This window comes from Homo sapiens, chromosome 1, assembly GCF_000001405.40.
Source record: "Homo sapiens chromosome 1, GRCh38.p14 Primary Assembly".
Classification (NCBI taxonomy): Eukaryota; Metazoa; Chordata; class Mammalia; order Primates; family Hominidae; genus Homo; species Homo sapiens.
This window is the reverse complement of record NC_000001.11, coordinates 89730158-89743357: the sequence shown is the minus strand read 5'-3', so window position 1 is coordinate 89743357 and position 13200 is coordinate 89730158. Positions and strand designations below refer to the sequence as shown.

Below are 13200 nucleotides of genomic sequence, written 5' to 3'. Positions count from 1 at the left end.
TGCCAGGGAGTTGCAAGAGGGCTCCTTCTCTGAATAACCTCATATTCCAGAAAACTCATAAAATTGGAAAATAGTTTTAAACAGTGGAAGCCTTCTCTGAGGCATTTATATTCCCTGTTAATAAGGTCACAAATAATCACCTTTATTATCAATCCAAATAAAGTATATGATGCTGCTCATGGTAGGATTGGGAGAGAACCACCCCAAAATACCTCCCCAACTAGCCTAGTAAGGTGCCTACAGGTTCTACCCATACTCTTTCTTTGAGTAAAAGCACTAGCTTTCAAATATCCTGAGAAAATGCTGGTATTTTAACTGGGAGAAGAAGATCAATGGACAGGGACAGGGTTGGTTTATTTAGCTGTCTGCTAAGAGTGCAAGAGATTTGCGATGGACTGAATGTTTATGTCTCTCCCAAATTCATGTATTGAAATCCTAATCCCAAGGTGGAGTATTAGGAGGTGGGGCCGGTGCACAACAGCAAGTGCTCTCACAGTGGAGAGCTCTGGGAAGGCAAAAACATCCATGTGTTTGGAGGACCCAGCAAATGAGCCAGCAGATTCATGCCAACATAGACATGTGTGAGCTACTTAATGGTTGTGGCTTCACTACTTCCCTCCAACTTTCACACAATATCTCCTGTGGTCCACACTAATGGGAAACACGCAGCAAAGGGAATTCTGGGAAATGCAGTTCAGCCTCATCAAGTTGACACCCATCAAGCCACCATACCAGGTCAGTTGATTCCAGGATGTGTGGCCTTTCCATGACAACACATTGCCCCTCCTCAAATGGCTCTGTCCATTGCTTGCTCAATCTTTACACCCAAGAAAGGCATTCTTCCTAGGTCAGCTCAGTTTAAGTATTGATACCACAGGCCTGGAACAGGGCAAGGCACGGTGGAGAAGGATCAAGAGGTGAGCATCATCCTGAGGAGACCCTACAACAATTAAACTGCAGTTGGAAAGAAAAAGAGTCTCATCCTTGGGGTGAGCATAGTAAGGGTGAGGCACTTGGTCTTCCACATATCCCTGGCCCCCAGTACCACTTTCTCCCATAGCCCCAGGTACAGCTGTGCCGTCTCTGTACTGCACTAAAGTGTCCAGCCGAGGGGGAGGGAAGACAGTGGGCTGAATTATAGCCCTGCCTTTCTCCCCAGTCTCAGAGATGTTTCAGCCCAGAGGAATAAAAGCTTTTTTCCCAATCCATGGGCCTGAAGGAGCCACCTTTTTATAATTTGCACAAAGGCATTAGAGGTATAACTGTGCCCCTTGAATCATCTGCCTATAGCTGTCTGACATAATAAAAAATATATATTTGGTCTTTTACCCCAGTTCCTGACACATGGGTCTTAAAACCCTCATCATTTCCTGAATGATAGGAGTAAGAGGAGCACCATTTGTTATATTTGGTCTTATTCTCTGTTCCCTGGCACAAGAGCTTTTAAGAACCTTGGAATCTCCAGAGTGATGACTGTCTTTTTTATGCTAATGAGATGACTAGTACCTGGGGTCCCTAGCCAGCTTCAGGATGAGGGCTGGTCACCTGAAAGACCAAGCCTTGATGACAGGGTTAGAACTTTCAGCCATATCTCCCTTCCCCATTCCCCACCTCAACTTCCTGGGAGGGGAGAGGGGCTGGAGAGTGAGTCAATCACTAACAGCCAGTGATTGAACCAACCATATCTACACAATGAACCCCCCATAAAAACCCTAAACAACGGGGTTCAGAGAGCTCCTGGGTTGGTGGACACATTCACGTGTTGGGAGGGTGGTGCACCCCAACTCCATGGGGACAGAAGCTCCTGTACTTGGTACCCTTTTGGACCTCCCTCCAGGTACTGCATTGTCTGTGTGCTCATTTGTATTCCTTATACTCTCCTTTGTAATAAACTAGTAATGGTAGAATGTTTCTGAGTTCTGTGAGCCACTGCAGAAAATTATGAAAGCTTAGGGGATTGTGAGAGCCCCTGATCTGTAGGCAAGCCGGAAGTTATGGGTCACCTGGAGACCCACTACTTGCAATTGGCAAATGAAGTGGGGGCAGTCTTGTGGGACTGAGTCCTTAATCTGTGGGGCTTGTGTTAACTGTCAGCACAAGCTAACCAGTGTCATAATTGAAGTAAAGTGGACATCCAGCACCCAGTTGGTGTCCCCAGAGAATTGGAGAATTGCTCAGTATGACCCACACATTTGGCATCAGAAGTGTGAATAGAGAAAAGGGTTTGTTGTTGTTGTTTGTTTGTTTTTCATTTGAGAAAGCCAAGCCAGGACAGTTTGCCCAGACTTCAGAGACTGCCTTCAGGCTAGCTCAGCTGCTGGTCTACCTGGCTTAAGCCTGAGAGGACCTCCATGTGAGGAAAGTCGGAGCAGAGATGAAAAACCAAACAACTAGTTTTACACTGGTCCTCCCAAAGCATCAGGACAATGCCACCTTTGTCAGGGCTTTGAAAAGAAAATAAATAATTGTTAACAGGATCACATACTTGGTATTGTGCTGAGGATGTTATATGAATTATTCATTCAATAAGTGTTTATTGATGACCTACTATATGCCAGAAAATATTCCAGGTGCTGAGGATATAGAAGAAAACAGACAAAAATCCCTGCCCTCATGGAATTTACATTCCAAAGGGAGAAAGGTAAGAGAATTTAAAAAGTAAAATATATGATATGGAAATGATGATAAATGTCATATAGAAAAATAAAACAAAGAAGGGTGCTAGGAAATGCTGGTGAGAGTTGAGGAGGGGAAGGTAGCTCTTTTAAATGTGGTGACCTGGTAAAGATCTCACTTCAAACTGATCTGGGGCCAGGTGCAGCGGCTCATGCCTATAATCCCAGCACTTTGAGAGGTGTAGGCTAGAGGATCGCTTGGGTTCAGGAATTTGAGACATAGCGAGAGCCTATCTGTATTTAAAACAACAAACACAAACTGATCCAGAGGACATTGCATCAGACAGATTATATTGTTATCATTTCACAGATTAGGAAACTGAAGCTTAGAATATGAAATCTTTTTCTTAGGAAAAGATCTGTTTTCAGCTATTCATATGTTAGAGTCTATCTCTTCCCTAAGTATTTGCATGGCACTTGTTCTTTAGCAGTAGAATGCAAAGCAATTTGTACACGGTTAAGGAATTTTAACACCAAAAGTTGTGCTGAAGGTCTGAGAGAAGAGGAGAGCTTTCATCTCTTGGGACTCCTACAATCACAATGCCTTGGTTGGTGGGTCCTGCGTATCTAGTCTTCCTCTTGACCTAGAACAAACCACTTCTGATGCTAGGCAGGGCTCTGTGGCCACAGAACAGCTTTATGTTGTAGTTTTCTCAGCCAATTTTTAATTAGACTTTGTTTTTGTTTTAGCAGTTTTAGGTGCACAACAACATTGAACAGGAAGTACAGAGTGTTCCCACAAACCCCCTACCCTCACACCATACAATCTCCCCAACTAATGACATATTGCCAGAACAGACTTATTTACAAGGTTAACTTTTTCCCTGTCCTGCCCCTTTCTCACAGATCAAATCCGGGCTACAGATTCCGTTGGTATTGCTCTTTGGGTCCTGAGTCCCCCATTGCCTACCTGGGCTGCCCAGGCTGTCAGGGGCCTGCCATTCTCTCCTTGCAGATGCACAGTACCTGCAGAGGATGTACAACGGTGAGCAGGGCAAATGGGCAAACAGATGTCATGGCTCCACAGTACTCGGGGCTGCAAGCTGTGTGGCTGAGGGCTGTTCCTGCCTCGTCCTGTCAACTCAGAGAACCTTCTCCCAGCCAAAGTTATAAATTCTTTTCTAGGAATTTCTCAGCCCTGGATTTCCCCTTTTGCTTTTTAGTTTCTCATCCTGAGTTGGCTCAGTCTCTTCTTCAGACTTGCCTAAAAACTCCCCTTTTAGTGTTGAGCCTTGAATAAATTTTTGTCTGCTGCCACGGCTGAGTCACTGCCTAGGTGCTGTGTCCATACTGTCTCTAGAAGGCTGCCTGGCCCTGGGGCTGAGAGGAAGCAGCGTCCAGCCAGACACCCACACTTTCAGACAGAGCCGCTTCTGAGAAGCAGTGGGGTAGGAGTGTGTCATCTGCTGGAGGGTGGGATGGGGAGACTTAGGCTGTGGGGAGGGGGAGGAGGAACCCAGCCAGATATGGGTGGAGGGATTGGGAGGTGGGGGGTGACATCAGGCTTGATCTTGCCTGGACTAGGGGGAGGCCGTGGGTGAGCTTGCTTTTTGAGGAAAAAGTTGAGATCATTGATGAGCTTTCCTTACTTGAGAGTCAGGGGATGAGGTCACACCTGGGTTTGTGTTATTTGGGAGACGAATGAGTGAGATCATGCTGTTTCCCTTATTTTGTATCATTAAGTGAGGGGAGGAGGTATACGGTGCCCAGTACACCTTATTTAAGAGGTTGAGGTAGTTTGGATGGCCTTCTGCCTCTAAACCGAGGGTTGCCCTGACCAGGCAGAGCCTGGGAGCAGCCCCTCCCAGGGCAGTTCAGTGCTTGGCTGGTTTTGCTGTATTGCTCAGGTCAGCGAGGGCTGCACTATGGCTTTCATGAGCCCTGATGGCTTTTGCCTTCATGAGCCTTTTCCTCCATTAAATTTTTAAAAAATTTTACGACTGTTGGTATAAAAATTAATATAATACAGGCCAGATTTATTATTATATAAGCAATTTGTTTTTCTTCTGATTTGAAAAGAAATTAAAATTAAAACATTTTTGTGGGCCTCTAAAAGCCCTCTGTGCCTATTGCTCCTAATGGACGAATTGGTCCTGAGGTCACTGGGACAGTCAGGGCTCTTCTGGCCTTCAGAAAGAAATCTGGGGCTGGAGGCAGAGCAGAGAGGGCCCCACCCACTCCCTAACTTCACTTTACCTGTCTGAGACACTCTGCCAGGGAACTGGCTAAGAGAACTGCGCAGAACTGGCCTGTCTTCTTGTACAGTCACACACCACATAACGATGTTTCAGTCAGCGGCAGATCACATATATGACAGTGGTCCCATAAGATTATAATGGAGCTGAAAAATTCCTACTGCCCTCAGCCTCACGGCTCGCAGCCCCGAAAGTACTGTGGAGCCATGCCGTCACTACTGCCTAGTGATGCTGTAGCTGTTGTAACAATGTAGTGCAGCATTGTAGTGCAACACATTACTCACGTGTTTGTGGTGATGCTGGTGTAAACAAACCTGTTGCTAGTCATATAAAAGCATAGCACGTACAATTATGTACAGTACATAATACTTGATAATAAATGACTATGCTACTGGTTTATGTGTTTACTATTCTATATGTTGTTATTTTAGAGTATACTCCTTCTACTTATTAAAAAAGGTTAACTGTAAAGCAGCCTCAGGAAGGTCCTTCGGGAGGTATTCTAGAAGAAGGCATTGTTCTCATAGGAGATGACAGCTCCATGTGTGTTACTGCCCCTGAAGACCTTCCAGTGGGACAAGATGTGGAGATGGAAGACAGTGATATTGATGATCCTGATTGTGGGGAGGCCTAGGCTAATGTGTGTGTTTGTGTTTTAGTTTAAAAAGAAAAAAAAATAGAAAAAGGTTTTAAAGAACAAAGATATAAATATTTTTGTACAGTTGTACAATATATTTGTACTTTAAGTGTTATTATAAAAGAGACAAAATGTTAAAAAAATTAAAAAACGTTTAAAGTTAAAAAGTTACGGTAAACTAAGGCTAATTTATTATTGAAGGAATAAAAAATATTTGTTTATAAATTGAGTGTAGCCTAAGTGTGCAGTGTTTATAAAGTCTATGGTAGTGTACAGTAATGTCCTAGGCCTTCACATTCATTCACCACTCACTCCCTGACTCACCCAGAGCAGCTTCCAGTCCTATAAGGTTCATTCATGGTAAGTGCCTTATACAAATGTATGCTTTTTAATCTTTTATAATATATTTTACTGTACCTTTTTTCTGTTTTTAGATACACAAATACTTACCATTGTGTACAATTGCCTACAGCATTCAGTAGAGTGACATGCTGTATAGGTTTGTACCTTGGAGCGATAGGCTATTCCACATAGTCTAGGTGTATAGCAGACCATACCACCTAGGTTTGTGTAAGTAGGTTTGTGATGTTCCCATAATGATGAAATCACCTAACGTTGTATTTTTCAGAAGGTATTCCTGTCACTCAGCAACACATGACTATACTAAGAGGGTGCTGTGCAGAGGCAGGATGGTCCGTCAGGCAGCAGTCTAGCTGAGAACTTGCTTAAGGTGAAGTGCCCTCTTAGACTAAGTAATCCATCAAAGAGCAGATACTGGCCATTTCCCTAGGCAAAGGCAGAGACCAATGGTTCATTCATTCATTAAACAAATATTTATTGAACCTCAACTATGTGCTAAGTAATATTCCTTGGGGATACAGATAAGTTCTGGGTTTCATGGAACATATACACTGTACATTTAAATCCCTCAAAGTGTCTATTTACAGCCACAGATAAGTTAGAAATAGGGGAGAGGGAAACAGAATTCAATAGTTAGAAGCCTTGTCACCTGTTACTGCTAACAGCCTGACATGCACTATGTCACTTGACCCTCTTAACAACCCTGTGAGGCATGTATTATTATTTCTGTTTCATAAATGAGGAAACAGAGGCTCACAGAGGTTAGGAAACATGTTCACAATCTCACAGCTCACAAGCCTGGGTTGGAAAACAGTTCTCATTCATTCCAAGGTCTGTGATATTCCACCTGGTTACTCTGCCTCACTAGTTACGATTTATGTCCAACAGGAATTTGATTACTAATAGTTTTCTCTGAGTATTTTTTACAGTACAAAGTTATACATACTGCTTTTTGGCAAAGGTGAAGGTAAATCACACCAGAGAGAAGCTAAATTCAGAACGAATGGAAATAGAGCCTAGGTTAGAAATGTAGGAAAGGCAGAACCTTCTTAGTCCATCTGGGCTATAGTTTGTAAAGGGTGAGGTCCTCAATGTCTGGGGAAGACCACCATAGTCAACTGGAGAGATCACTTAGGTTTCAGGAGACATGTGTTTTCATATGAGTGAAATACTGAAGTAACATGTCTGTTAAGGTATGTTTCTGCCATCTGGTTAAGATATGAACTGTAGTTACCATAGGTGCTGAATATACCAACATACAGACAGTAACTGGTGCAGTATACAGCACAGCATGAGAAGAAAATAAACATAAAGAAGAAAATAAAGATCACCTATAATCACACTACTAGGTAATAAACAGCATTAACATTTTGGTGAATATACCTCAAGTATTTTTTCTATTCATATCATTTAAACAAATATACAACTAAAATCTTATATTCTAATAGGGGCTTGATATTTTTCTACTAAAAAATATATCACACACATTTACCCCATGCAGTTAAGTATTCACATACAATATGATATTTAGTGGCTACGTAGTGTTCAGTTATGTAGATGTATCATAATTTATTTAAGAAATCCCCTGTTGGGAACTACAATTAATTTGTTGTCATTTTTCTCACTGTTGTATGTAACACAGACATGAACAGCTTTATGCATAAATCTCAAGAATCCCTAATTACTTCCTAATGGCAAATTCCCAGAAATGGAATAGTTGGCTGACAGAGCTTAAATATTTTCAAGTCTTTTGTAAATAGAAGTTAAGCTTCAAGGAACAAACCCAATTGGCATCAAAATCCTGGAATGTACAGGACGGAATCTCAGATCAGCTGAGACTCCTTCAGGCAGGCACCAAGGCTCTGGGTACACATGGTTCAGAATCCAGGAGTCAGAGACCATTGCACTGGAGACCTAGACACAGCAGGTGAATGTCATTCCTGGAGCAGGAGCTGTTGCTGTTGACTTGTATTGCCACATGCTGGGTGTGTGTGTCTGTGTGTTTGTGTGTGCATGCACACACACATCAAGTGGGGGAAGGGGCAGGAAACTGGGTTCCAGGTGTTCACAGGAGCGAGAAATCTAATGGCCTCTGGATGAACCCTGCTGCCAACTGAGGCAGGGTTAGACTTGCAGTGTGACCTCTCAGACATGTGAGATTTTTCATTCATTTTATGCTGCCTCTGCCTACAGCATCTACCAATCTCAAATATTTACAATCCACTTTGAAATAATATAAGCAAATATGTTTCTTCACAGTTCTTTTCTGCTGTCCTTGTTTTTCCCTATCTATTGAGACCCACATATAATCCAGTCCTGTTCCACACAGCCTTGGTCACATAATAGTAACTCCGACAGAATAATCATCCTCTGAGACCCATAGTTGCCATCATATGTCCATCAACTGTCCTCTGTTGCTGCTTCTAAGCCCAAACCCCATTACCCACCCAAGTCGTTTTAGAAATAGAAGACATTATCTGTTAGAACCAGGAGAAGGAGGGAAAGTCATTAATTAAGTTTCCAAATGCCAAAGCACAAAAATTTCTGTAACTAAAGGCAACAGGAAGGGAAATGTCCAAGCAGAATTGTCTACATAGTTCATCAGCTACTCCTGGAAGAGCATCCAGGGAGATTCAGAAGCAACATTGGCAGTGAAACTAAGGTAGGTGCAACGACTGATGGGCATGAGGAATGGGAATGCCATTCAATGACCATGAGCCTCCAAACCAGTTTGTGAAGGAAAAGGCCCTTTCCTTCTCTCTGGAGGAGGAGGGAGGCTGTGAGATAGCAGGACTCTCATTTTCCAAGGAAATTACCAAAGTGTGATGCTAGGCATCTGGCCAGACTGCATAGGGTGTACCTCACACTTGGAAGCCAGATTTCTGACACAGTCTTGCGAGTTTTTGGGTAGGGCCCAGTCTACATAGTCATTCTCTTTTCTTTTTTCTTTCTTTCTTCCCTCCTCCTCCCTTCCCCTCCTTCCTCTCTATCGTTTCTTTCTCCCTCCCTCTCTTCCTTCTGCATGGTAAGTAGAGTGTGTAGAACATGATTTAATCTATTTTCATTGATTCTGAAAATTCTCCTGGAATCTCACATTTACTGTTAGAAATTATTTTCATTGGATAGGATGAGTATATTGACATAGAAAATCTGGAGACTAGTCTGAGTTGGTAAAGTCCTGAGAAATAGCCTGAAAATTGGTTATGGGCAAATCTCAATTCAGAATTGCTTTCTTGAGATCTTCCATTTTCTTCTGAAAGTCAAAGGCAGAAGAATTTCAGATTAGCTGAGGTTTCTGGTTGTTGAGTCTGGTTAAATCTTTCCTTGCTACTCTCCTCTCTCCTTTTCCAGGTACTGGGAAACTTTTCTGGGTTAAAATATTAGCAAGAACCTAACAAGCGGAAAATTCCCTCTATTTTTACAAGCCATCCGCATCTTTGGCTGCAAGATGAACTTCATATACATAATGATCTCTTGCTGAAAACATTTTATCTTGATTAATTAAAGCACTTTTTCTGCTACTAAAAAGCAGGGAGGAATTTCTGGAAAGGACTCCAAAGGCACTTAGCCTCTTTAAAAGCTCTACTGCCTACAAGTCTAGACTAGCCGATGCCTGCTGCTACTTTAATCATTTTATCTAGTGTGGCACTTCTGCAGGTGGCAGTTGCATACTTTCCATTACTTCTGTTACAATTTAACACTACCAACATAATCGACAACCTTAATTTAAAAAAATGCTTTTCTATTTTAAATGTCATAGATTTTCATTGTAGAAAATTTAAAAATACAGAGAAACACAAAGAAGAAAATAAAAATCACCTGTAATCACACCACTAGGTTATAAACGGCATTAACATTTTGGTGAATATCCCTCAAGTATTTTTTCTATTCATATGATTAAAAATATACACAACTAAAATCTTATATTCTAATAGGGTTTTGATACTTTTCTACTAAACAATATATCACACACATTTTCCCCATGCAGTTAGGTATTCATATACAACATATTTAATGGTTATGTAGCGTTCAGTTGTGTAGATGTATCATAATTTATTTAAGAAATCCCCTGTTGGGAACCACAAATAATTTGTTGTCATTTTTCCCACTGTTGTATGTAACACAGACATGGAACAGCCTTATGTGTAAATCTTCTCAAGAATCTCTAATTACTTCCTAATGGCGAGTTCCCAGACATGGAATAGCTGGCTGACAAAGCTTAAACATTTTCAAGTCTTTTGCTATAATCTTGCCAAACTGGCCTCCAGAAAGGATGCACCAATTTATTCTCCTAAAGAGTTTTAAAGGGAGTAACTCTTTATCTACATTCTCAACAACATTCAGTGTTCAAAGTGAAAGTTTACCAATTTGACAACTGAAAATGAGAATCTCATTTTTACTGAAATTTCCTAGAATCCTATTGAGGTTGAATCCTGCTTCGTATGTGTAACTGGCCATTTGTATGCAGGCCCTAGGGAATGGTTCCCCAATTCTGTCTTCTTGGTTTCCTACTGGGATGGTTATCTGTTACCTTTCAGTTTGCAGGTGAGCTAATTGTTTGGTAGTTTCCACTGTCAGATCATTTCTAAAAATAATTTTTTTCAATCTTTGTTTTAGAATCGGAGTACATGTGCAGGTTTGTTACAAAGCTATACTGTGTGTGCTGAGGTTTGGAATACGAATACATACATCACTCAGATAGTGAGCATGGCACCCAATAGGTGTTTTTTTCAACACTTACCCCCACCCACTTCCTGTATTTCCCAGTGTTTATTGTTCCCATTTTTATGACCATGTGTTTCCAATGTTTAGCCACCACCTATAAGTGAGAACATGCAGTATTTGGTTTTCTGATTCTGTGTTAGTTTGCTTAGGATAATGGTTTCCAGTTCCATCCATGTTGCTGCAAAGGACATGATTTCATTTATTTATGGTGCATACGTACTCCATTTTCTTTATCCAGTCCAGAGTTGATGGGCATCTGGTTTGAGTCTACATCTTTGCTATTGTGAAAAGTACTGTGATAAACACATGTGTGCATGTGTCTTTTTGGTAGAATGATTTATCTTCCTTTGGGTGTATACCCAGAAGACAGATTGCTGGGTCAAATGGTAATTCAACTCTCAGTTCTCTGGGAAATCTCCAAACTGCTCTCCACAGTGGCTGAACTAATTTACATTCCCACCAACAGTGTGTAAGTGTTCCCTTTTCTCCACAGCCTTGCCAATATCTATCCTTTAACTTTTAACAAAAGCCATTCTACTGGTGTGAGATGGCATCTCACAGTGCTTTTGCTTTGCATTTCTCTGATGATTAGTTATGATGAACATTTGTTCATGTTTGTTGGCTACTTTTATGTCTTCTTTTGAGAAGTATCTGTTCATACCCTTTGCCCACTATTTAATGGGGTTATATGTGTTTTGCTTGTTGATATGTTTTAGTTCATTCTTGATTCTGGATATTAGACCTTTGTTGGATGCATAGTTTGTGAATATTTTCCCCCATTCTTTAGGTTGTCTTTTTACTTCCTTGATAGTTTATCTTGCTGTGCAGAAGCTCTTTAGTTTAATTAGGTCCTATTTGTCCATTTTTGCTCCAAAATTTTATGGCAGTTTGTTTTATATATGCTTCATTTTTTTAAAAAAAATCTTCCTAAGAAGGTCATGGAAAGTGAATGCATCTTAAAAACTGTCCAAATTACTCTGCTTTCAAATTTGCAAGTAATCTTTCCTCCTAATCTACTCATGTAATTACTCTGTTTTGAAATTTTGTACTGACTCTTTTTCACTTTTCAAATGAAAACAAAACCTATTTCAAATGAAAAAACTAGGTAGAGCCACACTGTTCAAGACAGTAGCCACTGGCTACATGTGGCTATTTCCATTTAAATTTTAAAAATAAAATAATTAAAATTTCACTTCCTCACTTGCTCAACAGCCACATGTGACTAGTAGCTACCATTTGGACATCATAGATATAGGACTTTCGTAGATAGTTCTGGACAGCACTGATCAACATTTCTAACTGTTCCCATCCCTGGACGTGCTCCCTTCCACATGTGCTAGCCTCTTCTTAGAATACCCTTCTCCCTTTCTTTGGCTAATTCTCACTTATTCCATGTGGTGAACAGGTCTATGCAAACCTAACTCCGAAAGCCAAGGGAGCTAACAGGCCAAAGAAAGAGGTTGACAAATCCAGTTTCTCAGAAAAAAAAAAAATTTTTTTAGGGACTTAGGAACAGAAGCAAGGTCTCTGGTGGCCATGAGACGGTGGATTCCTACACTTGTAGCAAGATTTTAGAGTAAAACATGTGCAGTTGGTCATGTTTCAGATTTTCTTGTGAAACTTGTGACTATTGGGAAGGTTAGGGAAGCATCTTTTTCAGGCTATCTACACTATAACATTGTTTAAAGACCTTGCTGCTTAAAACCTTGCTATGGAGGAGTCAAATATTAGCCACCACGGTGATTTCACTTCAAGATGGCGTCACTCTTGCCGTGCAATAGGCTGTTTTCCTATACCACTTGTCCTTCAACATACAGCTCAGATGTCACCTACTCTGGGGAAGCCTTTCCTGACTACATGTTTCCCCACCTGGATTGCATGCCCTTCTTGGGCCCATTAGAGGCCTGGGCATAGAGTACTCATTGTAGTCCATCTTGGATGTTTGTTCACTGGTTCTTGTCCCCTACTAGCTCACTGAGGGAATTGTATGTGCCTTTACATTCTGATTCTCTAGTACCCAGCTAAGTTCTGAAAAATAGACAGAACTTGGTGTATGCTGAATAAATAGACTGCTCACCATTTGCCCTACCCTGTGCAGAGGCAATGGTTTATCCTTAAAAATTCTCAAGAACTAAAAACATAACAAAAAAAATTGAAGGAGCAACGTATTTGTATTAGGGACAATTCAATTATTAAGAATAATAAAATAATGAAATACACACATATATTTTATGAGCTGCCTCACAAAGGACAGTGACCACAACAACACTATAACATTGCTCTTGTTTATATACATATATACACACGTATTACCTTTATGCTTGAACAAGTGTATATTACTGGAACAATTCTAAACAATATCATTCTAATTATTCATATTTTATTTTATGAATAAAATAAAAATAAAATAAATAAAATTCATATTTTATTTTATTCATAAATAAAAGCCTATGTGAAAGCATATCTTTTATCTTTAGTCCTCCAGAGTCTTTCTGGGTCTTCATCTAATTTCCCTTCTAATGTTACAGCATATTGCTGGCAGAAGGTGCATCTGTGAGTGCCAAGCCTAGATACTTTTTTCTCTCTTAAATAAAAAAATCACAATTAA

At 40.7% G+C, this 13200-nt stretch overlaps 1 annotated feature.

Moving 5' to 3' along the window:
• Positions 3678–3847: an enhancer, noted in NCBI's record as "active region_1299". NCBI's record gives its function as "activates an Ori minimal core promoter by ATAC-STARR-seq in GM12878 lymphoblastoid cells {active_cell/tissue: GM12878}" and the evidence as "EXISTENCE:reporter gene assay evidence [ECO:0000049][PMID:35858748]".